The 25,465-nt window shown below is 48.8% G+C and overlaps 1 protein-coding gene and 2 long non-coding RNA genes across 8 annotated transcripts in view, besides 9 other annotated features; 1 reads left to right on the plus strand and 2 right to left on the minus strand.

The window, feature by feature from the left end:
- The window catches only part of ZFYVE28 (zinc finger FYVE-type containing 28), a 149,049-nt gene that overhangs the window by 56,536 nt on the left and 67,048 nt on the right, over nt 1–25,465 (minus strand). For 2 of the 6 annotated variants that reach the window (NM_020972.3, NM_001172659.2), the window contains exons 3-6: nt 15,346–15,483; nt 13,321–13,523; nt 11,275–11,364; nt 9,573–9,662 (exon numbers count right to left, since the gene is read on the minus strand). In NM_020972.3, coding sequence (NP_066023.2) covers nt 9,573–9,662; nt 11,275–11,364; nt 13,321–13,523; nt 15,346–15,483 — 521 coding nt within the window. Of the gene's footprint in view, nt 1–2,446; nt 3,011–4,029; nt 4,917–9,572; nt 9,663–11,274; nt 11,365–13,320; nt 13,524–15,345; nt 15,484–25,465 lie in introns of those variants that run through there. The other 4 variants (NM_001172660.3, NM_001172657.2, NM_001172658.3 and 1 more) reach the window with 4 other exon arrangements.
- Nucleotides 4,782–5,281: an enhancer, noted in NCBI's record as "H3K4me1 hESC enhancer chr4:2332641-2333140 (GRCh37/hg19 assembly coordinates)". NCBI's record gives its function as "activates a minimal SCP1, AML or CMV promoter by ChIP-STARR-seq in primed H9 embryonic stem cells {active_cell/tissue: H9 hESC(primed)}" and the evidence as "EXISTENCE:reporter gene assay evidence [ECO:0000049][PMID:30033119]".
- Nucleotides 5,596–6,393: an enhancer, noted in NCBI's record as "H3K4me1 hESC enhancer chr4:2333455-2334252 (GRCh37/hg19 assembly coordinates)". NCBI's record gives its function as "activates a minimal SCP1, AML or CMV promoter by ChIP-STARR-seq in naive H9 embryonic stem cells {active_cell/tissue: H9 hESC(naive)}" and the evidence as "EXISTENCE:reporter gene assay evidence [ECO:0000049][PMID:30033119]".
- Nucleotides 6,394–7,191: an enhancer, noted in NCBI's record as "H3K4me1 hESC enhancer chr4:2334253-2335050 (GRCh37/hg19 assembly coordinates)". NCBI's record gives its function as "activates a minimal SCP1, AML or CMV promoter by ChIP-STARR-seq in naive H9 embryonic stem cells {active_cell/tissue: H9 hESC(naive)}" and the evidence as "EXISTENCE:reporter gene assay evidence [ECO:0000049][PMID:30033119]".
- Nucleotides 7,182–7,261: an enhancer, noted in NCBI's record as "active region_21167". NCBI's record gives its function as "activates an Ori minimal core promoter by ATAC-STARR-seq in GM12878 lymphoblastoid cells {active_cell/tissue: GM12878}" and the evidence as "EXISTENCE:reporter gene assay evidence [ECO:0000049][PMID:35858748]".
- Nucleotides 7,182–7,989: a biological region, named in NCBI's record as "H3K27ac-H3K4me1 hESC enhancer GRCh37_chr4:2335051-2335848".
- Nucleotides 7,192–7,989: an enhancer, noted in NCBI's record as "H3K27ac-H3K4me1 hESC enhancer chr4:2335051-2335848 (GRCh37/hg19 assembly coordinates)". NCBI's record gives its function as "activates a minimal SCP1, AML or CMV promoter by ChIP-STARR-seq in primed H9 embryonic stem cells {active_cell/tissue: H9 hESC(primed)}" and the evidence as "EXISTENCE:reporter gene assay evidence [ECO:0000049][PMID:30033119]".
- Nucleotides 7,512–7,571: an enhancer, noted in NCBI's record as "active region_21168". NCBI's record gives its function as "activates an Ori minimal core promoter by ATAC-STARR-seq in GM12878 lymphoblastoid cells {active_cell/tissue: GM12878}" and the evidence as "EXISTENCE:reporter gene assay evidence [ECO:0000049][PMID:35858748]".
- Nucleotides 7,990–8,787: an enhancer, noted in NCBI's record as "H3K27ac-H3K4me1 hESC enhancer chr4:2335849-2336646 (GRCh37/hg19 assembly coordinates)". NCBI's record gives its function as "activates a minimal SCP1, AML or CMV promoter by ChIP-STARR-seq in primed H9 embryonic stem cells {active_cell/tissue: H9 hESC(primed)}" and the evidence as "EXISTENCE:reporter gene assay evidence [ECO:0000049][PMID:30033119]".
- Nucleotides 13,281–13,970: an enhancer, noted in NCBI's record as "H3K27ac-H3K4me1 hESC enhancer chr4:2341140-2341829 (GRCh37/hg19 assembly coordinates)". NCBI's record gives its function as "activates a minimal SCP1, AML or CMV promoter by ChIP-STARR-seq in naive H9 embryonic stem cells {active_cell/tissue: H9 hESC(naive)}" and the evidence as "EXISTENCE:reporter gene assay evidence [ECO:0000049][PMID:30033119]".
- LOC124900649 (uncharacterized) lies at nt 13,636–17,378 on the plus strand. Its single transcript, XR_007057991.1, has 2 exons — nt 13,636–13,782; nt 13,908–17,378. It is a non-coding gene; the product is annotated as an uncharacterized LOC124900649 (long non-coding RNA).
- LOC105374352 (uncharacterized) lies at nt 16,636–25,371 on the minus strand. The gene is made up of 2 exons (XR_925056.3): nt 17,177–25,371; nt 16,636–17,071 (listed from the first exon to the last, which is right to left on the minus strand). It is a non-coding gene; the product is annotated as an uncharacterized LOC105374352 (long non-coding RNA).

Below are 25,465 nucleotides of genomic sequence, written 5' to 3' on the forward strand. Positions count from 1 at the left end.
GACTAATGTTGTGTAGTCTTTCCCCTATGTTTTCTTCTAGTAGTTTTAGAGTTTCTGGTCTTATATTTAGCTCTTTAATCCATTTTGAGTTGATTTTTTATATGGTGTGAGATAAGGTTCTAGCTTCATTCTTTGACATGTGAAAATTCAGATTTCCCAACACCATTTATTGAAGAGGCTGTCCTTGTCTTCTTGGCACCTTTGCTGAAAATTAGTTGGGTTCATTTCTGGGCTCTTTATTCTGTTCCACTGGTATTTGTGTCCTGTTGTTTTGTTTTTGCCAACTCTAAGCTGTTTTAAAATTACTATAGCTTTGTAGTACAGTTTAAAATCAGGTAGTGTGGTATCTCCAGCTTTGTCCTTTTTGCTCATGATTGCCTTGGCTATTCGTGGGTTTTTATGGTTCTATATGAATTATAGGATTTTTTTCTCTTTCCATAAAAAAAATGATGTTGGGCTTTTGAAAGGGATTACATTAAACATGTAGATTTACTTGGGTAGTATGGACATTTTAACAATATTAATTCTTCCAATCCATGAACATGGAATATCTTTGTCTTCTTGAATTGATTTCATTGATGTTTTATAGTTTTCTGTGTACAGGTTTTTCACCTCTGTGATAAAAATTATTCCTTAGTATCTTATTTCTTTGTAGCTATTGTAAATGAGATTATTCTCTTGATTTCTTTTTTCGGATAGTGTATTGTTAGTGTATAAAAATGCTACTAATTTTTGTGTCTTGATTTTGTGTCCTGGAACTTTACTATATTCATTATTAGTCCTAACAGTTTTTTTGGTGGAGTCTGTAGGGTTTTCCACAGATAAGATAAGGTTGCCGGCCAGGTGCAGTGACTCACGCCTATAATCCCAGCACTTTGGGAGGCCGAGGCAGGTGGATCACCAGATCTGGAGTTCAAGACCAGCCTGGCCAATATGGTGAAACCCTGTCTCTACTAAAAATACAAAAATTAGCTGGGCATGGTGGCTCATGCCTGTAGTCCCAGCTGCTCAGGAGGCTGAGGCAGGAGAATCGCTTGAACCCAGTAGGTGGAGGTTGTAGTGAGCTGAGATCGCACCACTGCACTCCAGCCTGGGTGACGGAGCAAGACTCCATCTCAAATATATATATATATATATATATATATATATATATATATATATATATATATATATATATCGAATAAAGTTGCCATCAAACAGTAACAATTACACTTCTTTTCCTATTTGGATGCCTTTTCTTTCTTTCTCTTGCCTAATTGCTTTGGCAAGGACTTTCAATACTATATTTAATAGAAGTGGGAAGAGTAGGCATCCTTGCCTTGTTCCATATCTTACAGGAAAGGCTTTCAATTTTTTACCATTGAGTATAACGTTAGCTGTGGGCTTCTTGTTATATATGGCCTTTATTGCGTTAAGGCACATTCTTTCTTTTTTTCTGTTTTACATTTTCACTCAGTGGTACCCTTGAAGGGATATATTCCTTCTACATCTAATTTGCTGAGTTTTTCATCATAAAATGATGTTGAATTTTATCAAATGCTTTTTCTGCATCTAATGAGATGATCATATGGTTTTTTTATTCTATTAATGTGATGTATCACAATTATTGATTTGTGTATATTGAACCATCCTTGCATTTCAGGGATAAAAACATTTCTCAAAAGAAGACATACAAATGACCAACATCACTAGTCATTAGAGAAAAGCAAACTAAAGCCACAGTGAGATATCATTTCTCATTTGTCTGAATATCTTTTATCAAGAAGATGAAAGATAAGTGTTACCAAGGATGTGGAGAAAAGGGAACCCTTGCACACCATTGGTAGGAATGTAAATTGGTACAGCCATTATGGAAAACAGTATAGAGGTTCCTCAAAAAAACTACAAATATAATTGCCATATGATCCAGCAATCCCACTTCTGGGTATTTACCCCAAACATCTGAAATCAGTTTGTTGAAGGGATGTCTGTAGTCTCATGTTCATTGCAGCATTATTCACAATAGCTAAGTTATGAAATCAACCTAAGCGTTTAACAGATGAATAAAGAAAATGTGGTATATATACACAATAGAATACTATTCAGCCTTAAAAACAAAAGAGATTCTGACATTTGTGAAAAATTGGATGGAATTTTAGAACATTATGCTAAGTGAAATAAGTAAGGACCAGAAAGACAAATACCATATGTTCTCACTTACTTGTGGAATCTCAAACAATTGAACTTATAGAATCAGAGAGCACAACAGTGGTTATAGAGGCTGGGGGTGTGGGGAATGGCCAAAGAGTATAAAATCTCAGACTAGAAGAATTTTTTTTCTTTTTTTGAGTTCTTTGCACATCATGGTGAATACAGTTAATAATAGAGTGCTGTACATTTCCAAATTGTAAGAGAGTAAATTTAAAATGATCTCATTCAAAAGATGTTAAATATTTGAGGTGATGGATATGTTAACCAGCTTGATTTAATTATTCCACACTGCATTCATAGATTATAACACAACTTTGCATGCTATAAATCTGCGCAATTATAAATTGCCAGTTTATCATTATAAAAAGAAAAAAAAATACCTTCACAGCAACATTCAGACTGGTATTTTACCAAATATCTGGGTAATGTGGCCTACCCAAGATGACACATGAAGTTAACCATCGCAGGGTCCAACTTTGTTCTTTTTTTTTTTTTTTTCCAACTTTGTTCTTTTGCATGTGGTTATCCAGTTGCTCCAGGAACATTCACTGAAGAGACTGTTCTTTCCTTATTGAATGATCTTGGCCCCCTTGTCAATAATCAGTTCACCATAGATGTTTGGGTTTATTTATGGCTTCTCAATTTTATTCCATTGGTCTATACATCTATCTTTATGCCAGTACCATAAGGTTTTGACTTGTAGTAAGTTTTGAAATCAGGACGTATGAATCTTCCAATTTTGTTTTTGTTTTTCAATATTGTTTTGGCTATTTAGGGCCCATTGCAGTTCCACATGAATTTTAGAACACCTTTTCCATTTCTGCAAAACAAAAAGGCCAATGGAGTTTCGACAGCAATTGCACAGAATCTGTAGATCACTTTATGGAGTATTGCCATTCTAACTATATTAAGTCTTCCCATCCATGAACATGGAATGTCTTTCTCTTTAATTATGTCTTTAATTTTTTCAGCAACGTTTTTTAGTTTTCAGCATCCATGCCTTTCACCTTCTTGATTAAATTTATTCCTAGGCATTTTACTCTTTTGAATGTTATCACACATTTCTTATTTAAAATAACAGCTAATTACATCCAATGGAATATTATTCAGCCTTAAAAAGGTAGGAAATTCTGACACATGCTACAACATGGGGGAAACTTGAAAACATTATGTGAAGTGAAATAAGACAGTCACAAAAGGGTAAATCCTATATATTAGGTTGGTGCAAAAGTAATTGCAATTTTTGCCATTAAAACCCTAAGAAAGGGTCAAAATGGCCAATTTTGTTATGTATATTTTACCACAATAAAGAAGAATGTTTATTGCTTTAATTTCTGTTTACAAAAGTTTTACCTATCAATGTTAAGAAACTCTGTAAAATAGAGACATACTATTTGATAACAGTTTTTGTGCTTAATACACTGGGGATGTTTTTGCATAGCATTAGGAGATTTTTCTCCATCATTATTTAAATGGCTACAGTATTGTTTTTAACCAATCCCTTAATTCTGGATATCCATCCCTTCTCAAATTTTTATGATTACAAGTAATACTTCGGGGATAATCTTTGTGGATATATATTTGTGCCCCCTCAGATCAATGCAACAAAATTCTGCAAAAGTCCACCACACTATGACATGACAGGCACTCAGGATGCATCCGTGAATAAGAGTTATAGTCTAGTGGGGGAGACACAAAAATAACAGAAATCCCATTTATATGAATAACCCAATAGCCAAATCTATAGAAACAGAAAATAGATTTGTGGTTCCCTAGGGTTAAGGGGCAGGATGAAGGATAATAGGGGGTGGAGGTGACCGCTCAGGAGTAAGAGACATCTTTGTGAGTAATGAAAATGTTATGAAATTTGTGGTGATGGCTGCACAATTCTGAATGTACCAAAAACGACTGTGCACTGTAGATGGGTGAGTCATAGGGTAATGAATTTTATCTCAGTAACATGGAAAAATAAATAACAGAGTAAGTCACGCAACCTGCTGGTGGGAGAGGGCTTGGGTGAGCGGTGCAGTGGTGGGGACATCGCAGAGGGAGGTACAGCAGGGAGTAGGGGACAGTGCAGAGGAGAGGACAGCACGGAAGAGGGGACATCATGGAGGGGACAGCACGGAGGAGGGAACATCATAAAGGAGGGGACAGCATGGAGGAGGGGACAGTGCAGAGGAGCACAGGGGAGAGGACATTGCAGAGGAAGGGACAGCATGGAGGAGGGGACAGCATGGAGAATGGGATAGCATGGAGAATGGGATAGCATAGAGGAGGGAACAGCATAGACAAGGGGACAGCATAGAGGAGGGGACAGTGTAGTGGAGGGGCCAGCACCATGGAGAGGACAGCATGGCCAAGAGGACACTGGAGCAGAGGGGACAGCGTGGAGGAGGAAACATCATGGAAAAGGGGACAGTGCGGGGGAGGGGACAGTGTGGCAGTAGGGATAGGACAGTCAAGGGGACCCTGAGCGAAGGGGACAGCATGGTGGAGACCCAGGGCAGCGGGTGCGTGGGGACTGGGGAGAGAGGACTGGTGTGGGCACGGTGCAGGCAGATCACGGTGGGAGCTCCGGCAAGGGTCTGAGCAGGGCAGAGATGACACCTTGTTTTGACACAGGTGGATGGGTGAGGGCCCCTGAAGAGGATCCGGCAACCATCCTGCAGGCCACGTGGGCGGTGGCTCCTGCACGTGTTCTGGGATGGGCTGGAAGGAGGGGGCTGGGGAGGAAGGCAGGGGTAGACGCTGGGATGGGCTGGAAGGAGGGGGCTGGGGAGGGAGGGAGGGGTAGATTCTGGGATGGGCTGGAAGGAGGGGCTGGGGAGGAAGGGAGGGAGGGGTAGAGGAGAGGGGCCTGGGTTCTGCACAGGTCCGGTCTGGGAAGCGTCGCACACACACAGCTGTGAGTGCAGACGGGCGAAGCCGCAGCGAGGCGGGCAGGCAGGTCTGTGCTGATGGGGACTGGGAAGTGACCACTGGGTCTAGAGGTTTTATTTCATTTCTTCCTTTAAAGGAACTGTTTTAAGGCCGGGGCTGGGCACGGTACCTCATGCCTGTAATCCTAGCACTTTAGGAGACCAAGGCAGGCAGATTGCTAGAGCCCGGGAACTCGAGACCAGCCTGGACAACACAGCAAGACCCTGTCTCTATTTTTTTTTTAATTAAAAAATAAAAATAAAAAGTTAAAAACAAAAAAAAGAAACTGTTTTAAGATAAATCCCCAAAAGTAAAACCAGTTTGTCAAAGAGTCTGAGCCTCGTGGAGACACTCTCCCCAGGACGCGTGTCTCAATCAGCAGGAGGGACTGACTGGATGCAGGTCTTAGGGAGGGGACAGGCTGAGGGGTGCAGGGCAAGTGGGGCCCCTCCCCTACGGCTCAGAGCAAGTCCCCACAGGGGTGACCCCCAGTTTTTGTCCTCACTGCCTGGTAAGGCCAGACCCCACCAGGCTGGGGACACCCTAAACAGGGGGAAGGGTGCCACCCAGCACTCCCTTCCACCTCCCCCTGCCAATCTGAAGGCCTCAGTTTACCACTGCCTCTGCCCCAGGCAGGCCTCCTCTGCCAGCCACAGAACTAGAGTTTTCTGCTTTCTTGTGTCACAGGTGAATAGCAGGCTCTGACCCTCGGGTGGGCTTGGTTCTGCCGCCTCCAGCTGTTGACCCCCAGCGGTGCCTTCGCCACTGGGAGCCCCTCAGAAGGGGACGGGAGCCTGGCCCGCAGCTCATGCTTGGTAAATGTGGCATCACTGTTCTGACACTGTGTGCTGGAGAAGGGACTGGGGCTCTCGGGCAGCAGCACAGTCACGGGCAGGAGCCACAGAGGAGCTCCACCCTCAGCTCCTGCCCCGCTCAGCACCCCTGCCTCCCCTCTGCTCTCAGTGTTCCCTGGGGGTCACCTGGGGGGTCCCAGGATGCCCACTTCACAGAGGCAGGATCCTGCGAGGGTGTGGGCCCAGGAATGCAGGCTAGAGGGGTCTTCATTTCTGCAGAAGTTCCTGCGGCCCCCTGGTCCTTGCTCGAGCCCTGGACTTGCCCCTGAGCATACACCACCTGCACCAACGTGCCCCTGCCTGCCACCTGCACAGCTCCCACCTCTGGGCCGGCTGCCCTGGGGAGCCTCTCCCTCACGCCTTCAGCTCCTGTCCACCCCATGGGGTCCCTGCACTGAGTCCCCCTTCCAGCATCCAGAACATTCCACAGCACTGTGGGTCAGCCCATCTGTCCATCTCCCTGGTACAAGCACAGGGCGAGGTATGCAGTAGGCACTCAATACTTGCTCACTGAATGAACACAGGAAGGAGCAGGTTCTGGGCCCCACCACGGGCAGCTGTGGCCTCTGCCTGTCCGGCTCAAAGCGGTCGCTGTGGATGACGAGGAACAAGACGGGATCCGCTGGTGGTGCAGGGCTGCAGGGCCCCAGTGAGCATCCCAGAGGGGCGGCCTTAGGAACAGCTGCCCACTCAGCACTCACCCGCTCAGCACTCACCCGCCCTGCTCGAGGCTCGCTGCACAGAGGGTTGCAGTGGCAGCCTGGTGCACCCCACGGTTCCTCGTATCCACAGCCTGGCTCTGTGGCTAGATGCCTGCCTCTGTGGGGGCTCACAGCTGGCCACCCCCCTGGACAGGCCTGCTCCCTGGACTCTGGCTTTGGGCTCTTATGCCCTCTCGCCCTTCCTCCCTCCTTCAATCCAAGCCCCCTTCACCTCCTGGGGGTCCCTCACTCCCTTTCCAGGCTCTCCCACTGTCCTGAGCCCGAGGGGACCCCACGCCAGTGCCTCCAGGAGGGGACCCGCGGGACAAAGCCTCTGCCAACAGAAGCTCCAGCCTCCCTCCCCAACCTCCCTCCCTTGGCCTCCCCCGCAGCACTGGCCTCCCCTGCTGCCCTTCCCTGACCCCCCCTGCTGCCCTTCCCTGACCCCCCACACTCCCCCACCTCCCTCCCCAAGCTGCCCCCCCACCTCCCTCCTCTGGCCTCCCCTACCCTGATCCCCCAGCCCCCGCCTCCCCTTGCCTCCCAGGATGAAAGCCTAGGACAGAAGGAGGAGCAGAGGTTTGGCCACCAGCAGGTGGACTGAGGTCGGCAAGCAGGACACAGATGATACTGGTTGGGGGAAGTGGCTGCTGTTCTGCGGTCGCCTGTACTCGGGCAAACACGGGCAGCAGACTCAGTGTGAAAGTCCCGAAACACAGTATGCCTGGGGTGCGGCCTGCGGGGAGGGTCACCTGGGGTCACCTGCACACTCCAGGCCCGACCTTTAAGAGGAAGTCCAGCCAGGGCTCACCGGCTCATTGACACGGGCATGAGTGGGCGGGTGGCTTGGTGCCACACCTCAAAGCACTCGCGGAGAACTTTTTACAAGGACAGCAGAGCTGTTCATTTGCTGTGAGTGCCCTTGGGACAAGGAGACACCTGTACCTGAGGCAAAGGCTCACAGCGCCCTGCGCCCTGGTGGAAACAAGGCCGGCTCGCAGGATCTTTGCTGTTCTGTTTTTTAAACAAAGAGAAGAATAAGGACCAAAACTGCCTGTCATTTTCTTCAAGTGAGTTTGGCCACAGAGAGACACTTGTCTAGAAAAGAAAAACAATGTCACCAAATCCTGTGGCCCATGGGAAGGGGCGCTCTGTGCTCTGGGGTGGCCTCTCCCCGCCAGGACACTTCCCTCCAAGCCACCTTGTCGCTGGCCACTGGGGACACCCTGCCCTCCAGCCCTGAGGTCTTCAGGTGAAAGGAAGTTCCCTGAGTCTAACGGCAGGAGGATTTCCGAGCCTCCCTCTGGCGCGATGTGAGGCTCACTCTCTCTGGTTTGCTAACTTTGTGAAAGACGCAACCTCTGCGAGGACACGGGAAGGACGGCGCAGGAAACAGGCCAGGCCCTGAGCTATTGGAGGGGACTCTGGGGAGCCAGGGCCCAGCAGATAGAGACCACGCTGGAGCCCTCCCGGAGGAGGTGGCACCAGGACCTAGGGGAGTGAGCGGCCTGGCCCAGGGGTGTCCAGACTGGCCCCGGCAGCAGCCCCCATTGCTCCCCACTCCAACAAGGGGTGTTCGGCGCATCCTGGGGTTAAGCACTTCTGTCCCCTGCAGGCCCCGCCGCTGGCCCTAGCCCACTGCACTGCCACCGCCCCGCGTGCTCCCACCTCTGCACCCCCATTTCCCACGGGAGGGGTATCCATGCTCAACCCCAGTGCACTGCCACGTGTGCCTGTGCCCCGGGGTCCCCTGGGGCTCCTCAGCATGGCCTCAGTGAGGTCTCTCCAGCCTGAGCCTGGACCAGTCGTGGCCTCTGTGCCCACCCCCCACTCCCCGACCACTTCACTGACATCCACATCTCCACGGGCATCTCTCTCAAGGGCTCCCCATCCCCTACTCTGCCCAGTCCCACACCTGCTGGCCGCTGCCCACTGGACCCTCCCCCTTCCCCCTCCCCTTCCCCCTCCCCACTTCCGCCTCCCCTCTTCCCCCTCCCCTCTTCCCCCTCCCCTCTTCCCCCTCCCCTCTTCCCCCTCCCCTCTTCCCCCTCCCCACTTCCGCCTCCCCCCCAGCTGCAAGCTCCACTAAGCTCTCTGTGGTCCACTCACTCCTCCGCCCCCGTGACCATCCGCCTGGCAGGGGCATGGGGAATCCCCGTCTGGAGTCAGGGTGTGGATGAGCAGCCTGACCCCTGGGCTCTAACCTTGGCCCCAGACAGCTCAGAGACGCTAAGCAGGTGACCCCGCGCATCCTGCCTCGGTGGATTTCAGGCCTGAGCTTCCATGTGCTGTGTTCACGTCCTTGAGCCCCACAGGACCCTACAGGCTGCCTTGAGTTCCCTGCTCTCCCAGACGGCCCCGCTGGCAGGAAAGGTTCCACACAGGTATTCCATCAGCCAGACCAACTGCCCCCACCTGCCCTTCAACCCAATGTGCTTCACCTCCCTGCCAGCCCCCAAATTATTCAAACAAGCCAATCACAGCCTCCTGAGGGACCCGGGGGGCAGCTCGTCCTCTTGTTACCACCAAGTCTGCCTCCCACAGCCCCTGCGTGGCCACTCTGTTCCGAGCATGACCCCTGTGTGACCCTCATGGTCTCCTGTGACTAATGAGCTCACCTGTGGATCTCACCTGTCCAGTGGCAGGTGGCAGGTGTTAGGCCACCTTGCCCTATCTAGGGTGACAGAGCCTCCCTCACCAGCAAGGTGAACAGGGGGCACTCAGGACACGTGGTCCCCTGGTCTGCTGAGGGCTGACAGCAGGCCTGCCTGTCACTGATCGGGACAGCTGAGCGGCCACCGTGAGGTGGAGACGCCATGGACCGGCACCCGCACGGGACCTGGCACCATCAGCCCTGCCCGTCCCGCAGGTTTCTGCAGAGGTCCTGGGCACAGGAGGCACTCACCACACGATGGCCAGCCTGGGGATGCTGAACATGAGGGCCGGCTCGTAGTCATCAATCATGTCCTGAGTCAGGTACCCGAAGTCCAGGGCCCTGTCCGGGGAGACGGACAGTGAGCAGCATGAGGGCTGGCCCACCACAGCCACAGGTTGGACCCCAGCAGGGACAGGCAGTGCGCTCAATCTGTACCTGCAGCCACGCGTGGTGGCCACGTCAAGAGGTGACACATGCCACCCCCAGTCCTCATATGTGCAAGGGGCTGGGACTGCAGGAAAAGGCCACACACTTCCCTAAATGCCCTGGCAGGTGGCTCCAGCTTGACCTTCCCATCTGCCAGTCCCCACCTCTGCCCCAGGAGGCAGGGGCAGGGAGGATGTGTGAGGACAGCTATGATGCCCAGCAAAGACAGTAAGGCAACCCAGAGGACGGCTCTGCTCAGCCAGGAGACCGAAACAACTCCGGTGTCAAGAATGAACACGGAACAAAAATACTGCCCCAAACAATTCAACACTTCCCTGAGAAACCAGCTTCCTTTCTCCTCCCCGGGGCTTGTGGAGGGCTTTTCCTGCACCTCGTGAGCAGGCCTGCTGGCATCGTGACTTTTCAAAATAAAAGGAATTTCCCGTCATCTTATTTTCTGATAATTTGAAATATCTCTCAAAGCACAAAGAGTAAAAATTTGCTTTTTAAAAATAACAAACATACAATGTGATAATAGTCAATTTCAAATCTTCCAAACACCATAGTACCACTTGAACAAGAGAAACATCAAGGTTACATCTTAACCCCAAAGTCCATTGAGAAAACCAGACTCCAAATTACTGTACAAAGCCTGATAAGAATATTGATGGCTTCCCCCTGCCCCCCCCACTCCCTAAAAAAGAAACACTTGTTCAACAGACTTAAAACTCAGCAAAAACTCATTCCTGGACTGGGGAGGTGGGGAGTGAGGATTGAGGAGTGAGGATGTGAGGATTGAGGAGGTGAGGAGTGAGAATGTGAGAAATAAGGAGCTAAGGAGTAAGGAGGTGAGGAGTAAGGAGGTGAGGAATGATGAGGTGAGGAGTGAGGAGGTGAGGAGGTGAGGAGTGAGGAGATGAGGAGGTGAGGAGGTGTGGATTGAGGAGGTGAGGAGTGAGGAGGTGAGGAGTGAGAAGGTGAGGAGGGAGGAGGTGAAGAGTGAGGAGGTGAGGTGAGGAGTTAGGAGGTGGGGAAGTGAGGAGGTGAGTGAGGAGGTGAGGAGTGAGGGGGTGAGGAGTTAGGTGGTGAGGAGTGAGGAGGTGAGGAGTTAGGAGGTGGGGAAGTGAGGAGGTGAGGAGTGAGGACATGAGGAGTGAGTAGGTGAGGAGTGAGGGGGTGAGGAAGGTGACAAGGTTTGGACGTCCAATCCATCATGCCAGAGCCTTCCAGCTTTTGTCCTCTGACAGTGACTTCACCTGCAGGATCTGACCTTCTGGCAGACAGAAAAGCGACCGTGGGGCGGTGGAAGGGGGCCGGGCAGAGGTAAAGGCAGGGGTGGCCTCTACCCTCTGCCCACCTGTGAGGAGAAGCCGGATGTAGTGTGGGAAGACACGTCTGGTGCCTTCCATCTGGGGCACTCCCGAGACACAGCAGGTTCCCCCAGAGCTGCCCTCTGCCCCGGGCCTGGAGTGAGGCAGGGACTCCCCAGATGCTGCCCCCAGCCCCTAAGCATCCCTGTGCTCACCTCTCCACCGTCTCGCAGAAGAGCACGATGACCTCCTGCTGCACGTAGTACTCCCTGGGGGACTTCACAGGCACCATGGCCGAGACGTAGCTGCAAACACATGGAGACCTGTGAGGCCGCACCTGGGCTGTGGCGGGGCCCCTCCAAAACAGAGTGGGGGGCATCTTCAATTAAAGCTGCAATGCTGGGCAAGGTGGGGGCGGGGGGCCTCACGCCTGTAATCCCAGCACGTTGGGAGTCTGAGGTGGGAGGATGGCTTGAGCCCAGGAGTTCGAGGCACCACAGCAAGACCTCATCTCTACAAAAAATAAAAAAGTCGGGTGTGGTGGTGGCAGGCACCTACAGTCTCTGCTACTTGGGAGGCTGAGGTGGGAGGATCACTTGTGCCCAGGAGTTGGAGGCTGCAGTGAATGGTGATGGTGCCACTGCATTCCAGGCTGGGTGACAAAGCAAGACCTTTTCTCTTAAAATACACACACACACCCTACACCACCATCCCATTTCGGCAGTTTCATAGTACACAGCTCCTGCCAGCCAGGCCTACCCCAGGCCTTCCCTTGAAACCCCAGCCCTGCCCATGCGGGACAGTTGTGCCAGCTCCCAGGGCTCACCCTGGAGCCTGACCACCCTGGACCCAGTGCTGCCCATGTGCGGGACCATCCCCCACCTTGGCACCAGCCTTAAGGGGCGAGAGAGAAACGAATGAACACGTGCACGGGTGGGTGAACAACCCGCAGCCCCACATGAACCTCCGCACGTGGACCTCCACAGCCACGGAAGCCAGCCCAGGCTGGGCACAGCGGCTTGCAGGAGGCCTGCCAGTGGCTCTGAGACGTGAAGGCTTGTCCAACCCTTCCCCAGATGAGAGCACTTTCTTTCCTTCTAAACCACCAACTCTAGGCCAGGTGCAGTAGCTCACGCCTGTAATCCCAGCACTTTGGGAGGCCAAGGCCAGCAGCAGATCACTTGAGGTCAGGCATTTGAGACCAGGCTGGCCAACATGGTAAAACCCTGTATCTACTGAAAACACAAAAAAATGAGCCAGGCGTGGTGGTGGTCACCTGTAATCCCAGCTACTTGGGAGGCCGAGGCAGGAGAATGGCTTGAACTCAGGAGGTGGAGGTCGCGGTGAGCTGAGATCGTGCCACTGCACTCCAGCCTGGGCAACAGAGTGAGACTCCGTCTCAGAAAATAAATAAATAAATAAATAAATCACTAACTCTAATTTTTTCTTATGGAAGCTGATTTAGAAAATTTGGGGAAGACAAGAAAATAAAACTCGACTGTCCGTGCTCTTGCTTCCTGCAGAGGACTGCCCTTAATGCATTGGTTGATCTCCTAGGGGCCAGTAGATTACAAGATGAAAAACTTATTAACTGAACCTCTGCGGACACCATCTGCCTCCGTGTTTTGTTTGTTGTGGTTGTTGTTGTTTTGAGATGCAGTCTCGCTCTCTCGCCCAGGCTGGAATGCAGTGGCTGGATCGCAGCTCACTGTAGCCTCTGCCTCCCGGGTTCAAGCGGTTCTCTTGCCTCAGCTTCCTGAGTGGCGCGCCACCAGGCCCGGCTAATTTTTTGTATTTTTTTTAGTAGAGATGGGGTGTCACCGTGTTAGCCAGGATGGTCTCGATCTTCTGACCTCATGATCCGCCTGCCTCGGCCTCTCAACGTGCTGGGATTACAGGCGTGAGCCACCGCACCCGCCTGGCTGCCTCTGTTTTCTTCTCACCTGTGACGTCTCTTCATCTTCCGAGGCATCATGCATGTCTGGCCCCTCGGGCCTCTCCAAAGCCCTTCCCCTGGAGGCCCACGGCGGCCAGATCCACACCTGTGTCCTCTGTGCTCACCCCACTCCCTGGAAAGATGCCCCACCTCACCTCCACGCTATGCTCTCCAGGGCTTAACCCCACCCACAGGCGGCCCTGAACCTGCCTGGCTCCTCCCTCTGTGGAATTTTCCAGCTTGAAGTATCAGGGTGAGCCCCGGAAGCTGGCACAACCGTCCCCCAGCTCATACAGCCAGGGCTGTGGACCCACAGCTGCAGTACCTGAGCTCAAACTCTGCGAACAGGACGTCGAAGTGCCTCAGCGCTTCCCTCATCTTCTCTGTGTAGGTGTTCAGGTCCCGCAGCGCCTGGTCACGGAGGGCGCCCCGCACGTCCTCCAGGCTGCGCGTCAGCTCCTTGGCCAGCGGGCGCATGGCCATGCTCTCCAGCTCCCGGTTCATGATGATGGAGCCGGCGGCCAGGCACTGCGGGAGGGGACACACTCAGGGAGGGGCCCGGGTGAGGGCCAGGCTCTCAGGGGTCGCCGACCCGGGGAACCTGACTGCGCACCTCGGGGCCCCTCTTCTCACCCCACAGCACAGGCCAGCTCGTGTTCCCGGTCCCCGCAGGAGGTTTTTCTTACATTCAGAGCAATCGTGAGGGCGATAACCGATGTCCCCCAATGTGACCCACGGGGTCCTCACAGGGCCCCAGGAGCAGGGAGGGCAGGGCATGGCAGGGCAGGTAAGGGCAGGGGAGGGGAGGGCAGGGGAGGGGAGGGGAGGGGAAGGTGGACTGAGGCCCTTGGGTCTGGGGGCTCCCTGCAGGAGGAACCCTGGTCATGTGACTCTTTTCCGCTCCCCGTCCAGGCCACAGGGATGAAGTTCAAGGAGCTTGGAGCTTCCAGGCTCCACAATCAGGTCTGTGCTCCCAGGGATGAAGCAGCCGGGCTGATCCGGGCCCGAGGTCCCCAGCCTATCTAGGGAGCCACAGACACCACCTGTCAAGTTGCTCACTGCCAGAGAAACGCAACCTTCCCCGGAACGCAGACTCATCAGTGTGAGAGTCCCTGGGCTCCTGGGCAGGTAAGGAGGGCTCCTCCGCACCCACAAATCCACCCATGTCTGCCCTGGGTGCTGCGAGGCAGCTCCCCAGCGTGCGCTCAGCAACTGGGAATTTCACCAAGCTGCCCTCTGGCACAGGGGCTGAGTCCAGGCCCTGGTAGACCTGTTGTCACAGGGAGGCTTGTCTAGAGGCCGGGGCCTCGCCAGGTTTAGGATAGAACCAATCCACCTGCTGTCCCCTCAGGGATGATCAAGTGATGCAGGACAAGAAGCCATTTCCCAGGTGACAGAATGAGACGGCGCTGATCGCCCAGGCCCAAGCTGCAGGTGGGCACAGAGCTTGGGGCACCAGGACCACACAAGGAGCTGTGCCCACCCCTGTGCATGCATGCCCCTGCCAGGCCAGCCGGGCACAGAACACGCTCCATCTCATGACTGCCCCAGGACCCACTCCACGGAGGTGGAAACTGAGGCTGGGGAGGAGGGAGAACCTGCCCGCGGGCCCCTGTAACTAACCCAAGCCTCGGCAGAGGACACCCCAACCAGGTGGCTCAGAAGGTGGGGTGGGCAGGGTGGACACAGGGACGGGGCAGCGTGGGATGAAGACTCCGCACCCCAGGGATTCCTAGAAAGGGGAGGCGGGCAGGATGGGGACGGCACAATAGAGAGGGTGGCGGTGTCGGGGCTGAGGTCAGGCTCGGGAGCACGGCAAGGGGAGGAGGCTGGGGAGTCCGCATGGTGGGGGCCTGGGGGAGACTGTTCCCGCCACCTTGAAGGGCACCTTCCTCTCGGTGCCTCAGTTTCCTGATTGGGAGATGAAGATGAAGATGACAGGCTATTGCCACATGTGGCCTGCGTGGGGCTGCAGCACGGCTCCCCAGCCCCTGCTGCTGCCCATGCTGCAGGGCCGGAGGGGAACACTTGTTCCTGATGTGGGCATTACTGCCATTAAAAACCACTTTTAGGTCCTGGCTGTCTGGGGGCCTGTGAACCTCATAAAAACCACATGGGAAATTTCATTTGTATGTATAGTTTTGGGGGCACCAGTTCATGGCTTTCCCAGATCCTCCAGGGGTGCACGGCCTACCAGGCTCAGACCACACCACGTAACCCAGAGTGGACGGAGCTCTTGGAGGAGACACCAGGTCCCGGCACCTGCAGGCGCCCATGCACAAGGTTCGCAGGGACTTGGCTAGACGCCACCCCACATCAGGACCTCCGAACCCGGGTGGCCACCCGCTACCTCGGCACCGAACCACAGCTGGCCGGCCAGGTTGTCGTGCCGGATCTCCTCAGGGAACTTGACGCAGAAATCTCTGGGGGCGCGGTCCTGGGGGATGCACTCATCCATGATCTGGTTAATGATGTTCAACACATTGTCCTGAAACAGAAGACAGGAGAAAGTGCGCCAATCGCTGTGTCCAGCTGGCGGCCGCCATGTACTGCTGGAAAACACGCACGGTGCATGTGACTGTTTTTTAGGATTATTAAAGTGATAGAGGAGGCTAGGCACGGTGGCTCATGCCTATAATGCCAGCACTTTGGGAGGCCGAGGCGGGTGGTTTACCTGAGGTTAGGAGTTTGAGACCAGCCTGGCCAACATGGCGAAACCCCATCTCTACTAAAAATACAAAAATTAGCCGGGCGTGGTAGCGCACACCTGTAATCCCAGCTATTAGGGAGGCTGAGGCAGGAGAATCACTTGAACCAGGGAGGCAGAGGTTGCAGTGAGCCGAGATGGTGCCATCGCACTCCAGCCAGGGCAATAAAGAGCAGCAACCGCAGGAGCCATGGGCTCAGACGGACTCTCAGTCGGCTGGGGACCTGCAAAGCCCTCGTCTTCCCTGAAGCTCAGTGCATTCCTCTGTAGAGTCAGGGACACAGACCACGTCTTAGGGTCAGAAGAGTGCAGTTACGTCAAGGCCAGGCACAGCTGGGGCCTGCTCCTCCATCCAGGGTGGCGTCCCCTCCCACCTCCTCTGGAACCAGCAGATCAATTACAGCAACGCATAAGTCAGTCTGCACTGGAAGGGGGTGCTGCTTTCACAACATGGAGACCCTGACTCCATCCCTCATGGCTGTTCAACGAGGGACAGGTCACTTCGCCTCTCTGATCAGCCAGGTCCCCTTCTGTAAGCCTCAATACACAGCAACTTCTGGCTTTTTGTTTATTTTTAGAGGCAGGGTCTGGCTTTGTCACTCAGGCTGGAGTGAAGTGGCGCAATCATAGCTTACGACAGCCTCAAACTCCAGGGCTCCAGCCATCCTCCAGCCTCAGCCTCCCGAGCGGCTGGGATTACCAGAGTGAGCCAGCATCCCTGGAAGCAGCTTCTACTTTAAAGACTCTTTAAAATTATTTTACTTTATTTCCTTATGTTCAAAATATAAAGTATAACAGAGTGTTTTGAACACTTTGTGTATATGAGGGAGAAGAAGCCCATTTTTTTACATCTTAAATTGCATTCCATCCTTTTCTGTAAATTTGTCCTATTCTTTAAACATTGACTATTCATTCTGTAGGTTACAAAAACACTGGAAGTTTAACTTTTGCTTTAATTTGTTAAATATGAAATCAATACACGTTCATCCTAGGAAAACTGGAACCAATGGGAAAGGAGAGAAGTGGGGAAAATGTCCTTGGGGAAATATGACCGCAGGTGGGACACAGTTCCTTCTAATTCTCATCTTCCGAGGGCCTGTTTTCAGCCAACGTTGAGACGATCCATGTACGTAATACTGCCTTCTGCTGTTGTAGCTGCTGCAACATGTTATTACATCTGTCACATATACAATTTTTGATGGATAGTGACATGCAATTCCAGCATATGGACCGTCCTGTTAACTCACTCCTTTGTCTTCTGCTGGACACTGACGATGTGCCTAATCCTCCACCTCCACGCAATGCTGCCCTCACTACTGTGGTGCACGATGCTCCGAGTGTGGATTACTTCCTTAGGACCCACTGATTGCTAGAAATGGAATTACAATGTCAAAAGTGCAAACTGCGTTTCCAGGCTCTAATGAGATACTGCCAAATGGCTTTCCAGAAAGAGCACACTAATTGACACTCTCACCTTGGCAATTTTTAATCTCGACCATCCCTCCTGAGGCTTGACTTTCATTTTTCTTAGGAAGAGATACGAAAACTCACTATGAGTGGGGAAGCATGACCCTTCTCAGGCAAGAAATCATGCACTAAACTCTGAAGGAAATTCTGCACTGTAAGAAAAATGTTAAGCCTTTATAATACAAAAAATAAAAATAAAATTCAACCAATAAGTGGGACTACTGTCACTTCTTTTTAAAAGGTTTTCTGGGTAGGAAGGTCCCTTGCTCATGATTCAACAAACAAATGAGCAAACAATGGCAATCACAGCAACAGGCGGTGCACAGTAAGCCCCAGCTGTGATGAAGAAGAGTCCAGGATCTGAGGCTCAGCCAGGTGGCACAGCTTGTCTAAGGCTGTAGTGCTCAGCCCAGGTGGCACAGCTTGCCCAAGGCTGAGGAGCTTTTAGTGCTCAGCCCAGGTGGCACAGCTTGCCCAAGGCTGAGGAGCCTTTCATGGCCGTGCTTGGATTCATTGCCCAGCCTTCCTGGTCTGCTAGAACATAGCTGCCTGAGGGAAGGGTCTTCTGTTATTCACGATGAGTCTCCAGTGCCTAGAACAGTGCCTCACACACAGTATGCTGCAAGAAACACTTGCTAGGACTTCTAACGCCAGCCAAGATGGAGTAATAGGAACCCAGTTTACCCCACTCCCAAGAACAACAGTGATTTCCATGACACTGGACATCAGGCCACAAAGGACAGTGATCCCCAAGAGACAGGAAACAAACAAGGTGAGCCCCATGACTACCCCAGCTCACTGCCTTGAGGAAAGTTTCAAGTCATGGAACAGGAGAGGGAACTCGGATGGAACCAAGGCAGTTAGGATTCAGAGAGCAGGAGGCAGAGAAGAGAGAGCTGGACAGAGAGAACTCTGGAGATCTGGGGAAGGTTTCAAGGGTTCAGCCGAGAACTGATCAACACATGCCTGTGGGGAGATGACCTAAGTTCAGGAAAGACGCACCTGAATGATTTGAGGGAGCAGTGACAGGAGCTCTCCAGGAGGCTAGAGTAGCAGGAGCACTCACAATTCACAAAGTATTGAGTAGAGTACCCAAAAGTGTTCTGCCTCCATGTGAACAGCAGTTAACTCTAGACTAAACACAGCTCTGGTCCTGCCTAACACCTTAAAAATAAGACCCAAAGGAATAAACTGTTTCTAAGTAACTAAACTACATCACGGAACAACCAAAAATATTTACAGTAATACAAAAATAGCCCCCAGCAGGGTGAAATTCACTATGTCAGGTACCCAATTAAAAAATTACCAAGTTTGGCTGGGTGCAGTGGCTCACGCCTGTAATCCCAGCACTTTGTGAGGCCAAGGTGGGTGGATCACCTGAGGTCGGGAGTTCGAGACCAGCCAGGCCAACATGGAGAAACCCCGTCTCTACTAAAAATACACAATTAGCCGGGTGTGGTGGCGAATGCCTATAATCCCAACTACTCAGGAGGCTGAGGCAGGAGAATCGCTTGAACCTGGGAGGTGGAGATTGCGGTGAGCTGAGATCATGCCATTGCACTCCAGCCTGGGCAATATGAGCAAAAAAAACTCTGTCTCAAAAACAAAAAACAAAAACAAAACAAAACGGCCAGGCGCGGTGGCTCACGCCTGTAATCCCAGCACTTGGGGAAGCCGAGGTGGGTAGATCACGAGGTCAGGAGATTGAGACCATCCTGGCTAACACAGTGAAACCCCGTCTCTACTAAAAATACAAAAAAAATAGCCGGGCACCTGTAGTCCCAGCTACTTGGGAGGCTGAGGCAGGAGAATGGCATGAACCCAGGAGACAGAGCTTGCAGTGAGCTGAGATCACACCACTGCACTCCAGACTGGGCAACAGAGTGAGACTCCATCTCAAAAAAAAGAAAAAAAAATTACCAAGCTTGCAAAGAATGAAGAAAATATGACCCATGACTAAAAGGAAAAGCAATCAATCAAAATCAAGCCAGACTTGACAAAGATGATCAGGGACATTAAGACGGTTGTTATAACTGATTCCCATGTGTTCAAAAAGTTAACTAGAGACAACGAAGAAACTAAAAGTCCCTAACTGATTTAGAGATGAAAATTACAGTGTCTGAGATGAAAAAATATACTGCATGAGATTAACCTCAGATTCAATATTTCAGAAAAAAAGAAGAGTAAACTTGAAGACAGCAACTGAAACTATCCCAACAATTCAGAAATAATAATAGATCATCAATGAACTGCTGGACAACTTCAAAGATCAAATATGGATGTAATTCAAGTCCCAAAACGAGGAGGAATGAGATAGAAAAAAATATTTGGAGGAATAATGGCCAAAATTTTTCCAAATTTAATAAATATAAACTCATAGAACCAAGTAAATGAACCCCAAGCAGAAGACACGTTTTTAAAAACTATACCAAATTACAGCATAATCAAATTGGTCAAAACCAATAAAAAGAGAAAATCTTTAAAGTAGCACGAGAAAAAAGATGTGTTACATACAAGGAACAAAGACAAAAATGGCATTAGATTTTTCATCCGAAATAATACAAGTGAGAAGAGAATGAAACAACATCTTTAAAGTATTAAGGGGGAAAAAATATCAACCTAGAATTCTGTACCCAGCAAAAATATCTTTCAAAATCAAAGGTAGAATAATTTTTCATTCAAACAAATGCTGAAAGAATTCATGACCAGTAGATTTGCACTATAAGAAATGCTAAAGAAATTCTTGGCCAGGGGCGGTGGCTCACGCCTGTAATCCCAGCACTTTGGGAGGCCAGGGCGGGTGGATCACAAGGTCAGGAGATCGAGACCATCCTGGCTAATACGGTGAAACCCCGTCTCTACTAAAAAAAAAAAAAAAAAAATACAAAAAATTAGCCGGGCGTGGTGGTGGGCGCCTATAGTCCCAGCTACGTGGGGGGCTGAGGCAGGAGAATGCTGTGAACCCGGGAGGCAGAGCTAGCAGTGAGCCGAGATCGCGCCACTGCACTCCAGCCTGGGTGACTGAGCGAGACTCCATCTCAAAAAAAAAAAAAGAAAGAAAGAAAGAAAGAAATTCTTTCAAGCAAAAAGAAAATGACACCAGATGGAAATAGAGATCTATACAAGGGAAAAGAGACCACTGGAAATGGTGACTACATGGTAAATATACAAGATCCTTTTTTACTATTTAATTTTCTAAATTTTTAATTTAAAAAATTGACCGTTTAAATGAAAAAAATACCCTAACAACATAGTGTGAGTCTGTAACATACAAAAGTAAAATGTATGGCAACAATAGCACAAGGTCCAGTAGGAGAAATGGAAGTGAATTATTGGAAGGTCTTTATACTCTATGTGAAATTGTACAATGTCATTTGAAGGTATCTGTAATTAAAGACAATTATTATAAACCCTAAAGCAACCACTAAAATAACAAAACAAAGATTTCTGGCTAATGAGCCAACAAAGGAGACAAAGCAGAAGCATAAAAAATAAATAGAATACATAAAAATTAAGAGAGGAAATTACTGAAGCCAATTAATAAAAAAGAAGGAAAAAAAGAGGAATGGGAATAAAGAAAAGATGGGACAAACAGAAAACAAATAGCAAAATGATACTTAAATCTAACTATATCAAAGACATATTAAACAAAAATGATCTAAAAACCCCAAATAAAAGACAGATTTTCAGATTGCATAATAAAATGAGACCCAACTATATGCTGCCTACAAGATACCCACTTTACACATAAAGACACAAATAAGCTAAAAGTAAAAGGATTTTTTTAAAGGTTGTATCATGTTCACACCAATCAAAAGAAAGCTGGAGTGGCTACATGAATACTGAAGTAGGTTTCAGAGCAAAGAGTACTGCCAAGGACCAAAAAAAGTCATTTTATAATAATAAAGGGTTCAATTTATTAGGAGCACATAACAATTGTTAACATTTATCAACCTAACAATAGACCTTCAAGCGGCATGAAGTAAGACGACATAAACAAATCCACAATTATGGTCAGAAACTTCAGTACCTTTCTCCACTGATAAGACATAGAAAGTAAACAGAAAATCAGCAAGGATATAGTAAATCTTAGCAATGCTGCTAAAACAACCTGATATGGTTGACATTTACAGAACATTCCACCCAACCACAGCCAGATGCACATGATTCCCGATTGTATATGGAACATATACCAAGAAAGACCAAATTCTGGGCCATGAAACAAGCCTCAATACGTGTAAAAATAATCCAAGTCACACAAAGTATATCCTCTGACCACAATGGAATTAAATTAGAAATCATTAAGAGAAAGATCTCTAGAAAAATCCATAAATATTTGAAAACTAAATAACACACTTTTAAATACTCACGAATCAAACATGAAATCAAAGAGGAAATCAAAAGTATTGTGAATGAAATGAAAGTAAAAATACAACATATCAAAATTTATGGAATGCCACTAAAGCAGCAATTACAGAGAAATTTAAACCACTAAATACCTAAATTAGAAAAGAAGAAAGGCATTCATTCTCTAACCTCAGTTGCCACATTAAGAAACTATAAAGGTTCTGTTTTTAAGTCTACTACATAAAAATAAAAAAAGAAACTAGAGAGAGAAGAGTAAATGAAACCCAAAGCAAACAGAAGAAAGGAATAGCAACAATCAGAGCAGAAATTTAATGAAAGAGAAAAGATTAAAGCAATAGAGAAAATCAATGAAGCTAAAATAGTTCCTTTGAGAATATCAGTAAAATTGATAAAACTCTATCAACACAGTTCAGAATGAAAACAGAAGATACAACTTAATAACAGGAACGAGAGAGGTGACATCGCGGTGGATCCTACATATATTAAAAGGATTATAAGGAAATATTACAAACAACTTATGCCAATAAATTCAACAACTTAGATGAAATTTCTTAAAAGGCATAAACTACCAAATCTCTCTCAAGAAGAAATTTCTGAAATAATGTGAAAACCCTATATTTATTCAAGAAATTAAATTTGTAGTTAAAAATCTTCCTACAAAGAAAACTCCAGTTCCAGATAGATTAATAGTGAATTCTACCAAACATTTAAGAAGAACTAACACTACACAAACTCTTCCATAAAACTGAAGAGGACAGAATCCTTCACAACTCATCTATGACACTGTCTTGACACCAAAATCAGACAAAGACTGTGGGCCCATATCCCTAATGAATATTGATCCAAAAATTCCTAACAAAATTTTAGGAAACTGAATTCAATAATGCGTAAAAGGATAATGTACCATGAACGAGTGGGATTTATCCCAGGAATGCAGGAGTAATTTTTTTTAACATTCAAAAATCAATCAATGTATGCTTATGCTCTTCCTGGACCAAATAAGGCAGAATCTCTGGGATTGGGTCCTGGCATCTATATTTTTTAAGCTTTCACAAGGACTGTGAACCATGGATATGGTCTAACATCTGCATTTTCTTAGCAACATATCTGATCTCTTCTCTATTTTTAAGAATCTATTTTTATTTAGGGCCAAATTCTGTCTTTTATCTTTGTAGCATATTTGTGATTCCCAGCTGGTTCTCTGATCCTCTTTCTACCAGAGAACTAAAATGATGCGTCTTCCATCATTTTGTAAGACAAGAAGACACCAAGAGTTCCAGCTACCCTGACCTTTGGATGCTATGGCATCAGGCAAACAACCCCTTGTTTTCTGTTTATTGCATGTTCTGACAGACGAGTCACCCAGTCTGAGTGGATTTAGTGTTCTAATTCATGAAATAAGAGAATCGGACCAGATGAGCCCAAAGTCTCTTTCAGTGCTATAGATAATTATAACTCTCAAATAGCTATGGTGAGAAGGCTGAATGTATATACTGGCATGAGATTCAAACTTTTGGCAGCTCGACACAGTTTACAATTGTTTATGTGATACCATAGCTATCATATGCCAAAAAGAGTAAGTCACACTATTCAAAAAGAAAATATGCAAACACCGCATATTCTCACTCATAGGTGGGAATTGAACAATGAGAACATATGGACACAGGAAGGGGAACATCACACTCTGGGGACTGTTGTGGGGTGGGGGGAGGGGGGAGGGATAGAATTGGGAGATATACCTAATGCTAGATGATGAGTTAGTGGGTGCAGCGCACCAGCATGGGACATGTATACATATGTAACTAACCTGCACATTGTGCACATGTACCCTAAAACTTAAAGTATAATAATAAAAAAAATAAAATAAATTAAAATGTAAATGAATCAGCCAAGCGTTCCCTGTTTCAATGATATAACTGAGTGCCTACTGTGTACTAGGCACTGGGATGTACTGGTGAGTGTTGTGTGTACACACAGCCCTGCCCTCATGGCATCTGCATGCTGCTATTGCTGTTGAGTGATGGAGTGGATACTAATAAAAAGTCAGTATTTATCGAGTAAAAAAAACCATCAATGTAATTTACCATAATAAAAATAACATGATAATCTCCGTTGACACACAAAAAAAGCATCTGAAAAAAAAAATCTAACATCTATTCCTAATAAGAACTCTCAGCAAGCTATGAGTAGGTGGCAACTGCCTTGGCCTGACAAAGGGTAGCTACGAAAATCCTACAGCTAACATCACGCTTATCTTTGGGGAGAAAGCATTCAGAGTTCCATCATTAACAAAAGATGTCTGCTCTCACCACTTCTATTCAACTTTGTACTGGAATTCTAGCTAGTTCAATAGGGTGACACACAGACACACACACACACACACACACACACACACACTCGGCATCCAGAGAGAAAAGGAAGAAGTGAAGATTATCTTTATTGGCAAAAAATTTAACAGAATCTACAAAAAGCTGCCAGAAATAATAAGTGTATTTAGAAAGTATGATATTGTAGGCCGGGCGCAGTGGCTCACGCCTGTAATCCCAGCACTTTGGGAGGCCGAGGCAGGTGGATCACGAGGTCAGGAGATCGAGACCATCCTGGCTAACATGGTGAAACCCCATCTCTACTAAAAATACAAAAAATTAGCCGGGCGAGGTGGCGGGCGCCTGTAGTCCCAGCTACTCGGGAGGCTGAGGCAGGAGAATGGTGTGAACCTGGGAGGCGGAACTTGGACTGAGCCGAGATCGCGCCACTGCACTCCAGCCTGGGCGACAGAGCGAGACTCCGTCTCAAAAAAAAAAAAAGAAAGAAAGAAAGTATGATATTGTAAAATATACGTTTGGTCATCTTCCCATTTCCTGACATACAGCTCCTAAAAAGCCTTGGACTCTCCAGAGTGATAGGAGTTCACTGGTGGCTGGGGGGCCCTAGACAGCTTCAGGATGGGGGGCTGGTCCCTGGGAAGATCAACGCATGTTAGAGGGTTGGGACTTTCAGCCCCCACCCCCAACCTCCGGGGAGGGGAGAGGCACTGAAGAATTGGGAAGTGTTCTCACCAACAGCCAATGATATATAATCAATCATGGCTCTATAATGAAGCTTCCAAAAACACCCAAAAGGACTGGTTCAGAAAGCTTCCTTTGGGCTGGCGAACACATCCGCCTGCCAGGAGAAGGGCACACCCCAACTCCACGGGACAGAAGCTCCTGCCCTTGGGACCCTTCCCGACCTTAGCCTGTGCACCTCTTCATCAGGCTGTTCATCTGTACCTGTTACTACATTCTTTATTCATAAGCCAGAACCATAAACGAAGTGTTTCCCTGAGTTCTGTGAGCCACTCTACAAATTTATCCAACCCAGAAGGGGGTCATGGGAGCCCCGATTTATAGCCAGCTGGACAGAAGCACAGACCACACCTGGACTTGGGATTGGCATCTGAATGGGGGGCCGTCTTGTGGGACTGAGCCCTCACCCTGTGGGTTCTGAGGTCACTCCGGGTGGACAGTGTCAAGATGAGGTTGAATAGAGGACCCCCACTGCTGTCCCCTGCAGAACCTGCTGGGGAATGACTCGGTGTGTGGGGAATACCCTACTCATCTGGTCATGGAGTGTTGAGTGACTGTGTGAGAGTAGAGAGTAGAAAGTAGGAAAAACCATTACCTAGATTCCCACAGAAAGGTATTAGGATACAAGATCTATATACAAAAGTCAATAGTATTTCCATATAGGAGCACCAAACAATCAAAAATTGACATTTAGGGCCAGGCACGGTGACTCATGCCCGTAATCCCAGAACTTTGGGAGGCCAGGGCAGGTGGATCACTTGAGTTCAGGAGTTTGAGACCAGCCTGGCCAACATGGTGAAACCCCGTCTCTACTAAAAATACAAAAATTAGCAGGGCATGGTGGCGCATGCCTGTAATCC

The sequence above is a fragment of the Homo sapiens genome, chromosome 4 (genome assembly GCF_000001405.40).
Source record: "Homo sapiens chromosome 4, GRCh38.p14 Primary Assembly".
In the NCBI taxonomy this organism is placed as follows: Eukaryota; Metazoa; Chordata; class Mammalia; order Primates; family Hominidae; genus Homo; species Homo sapiens.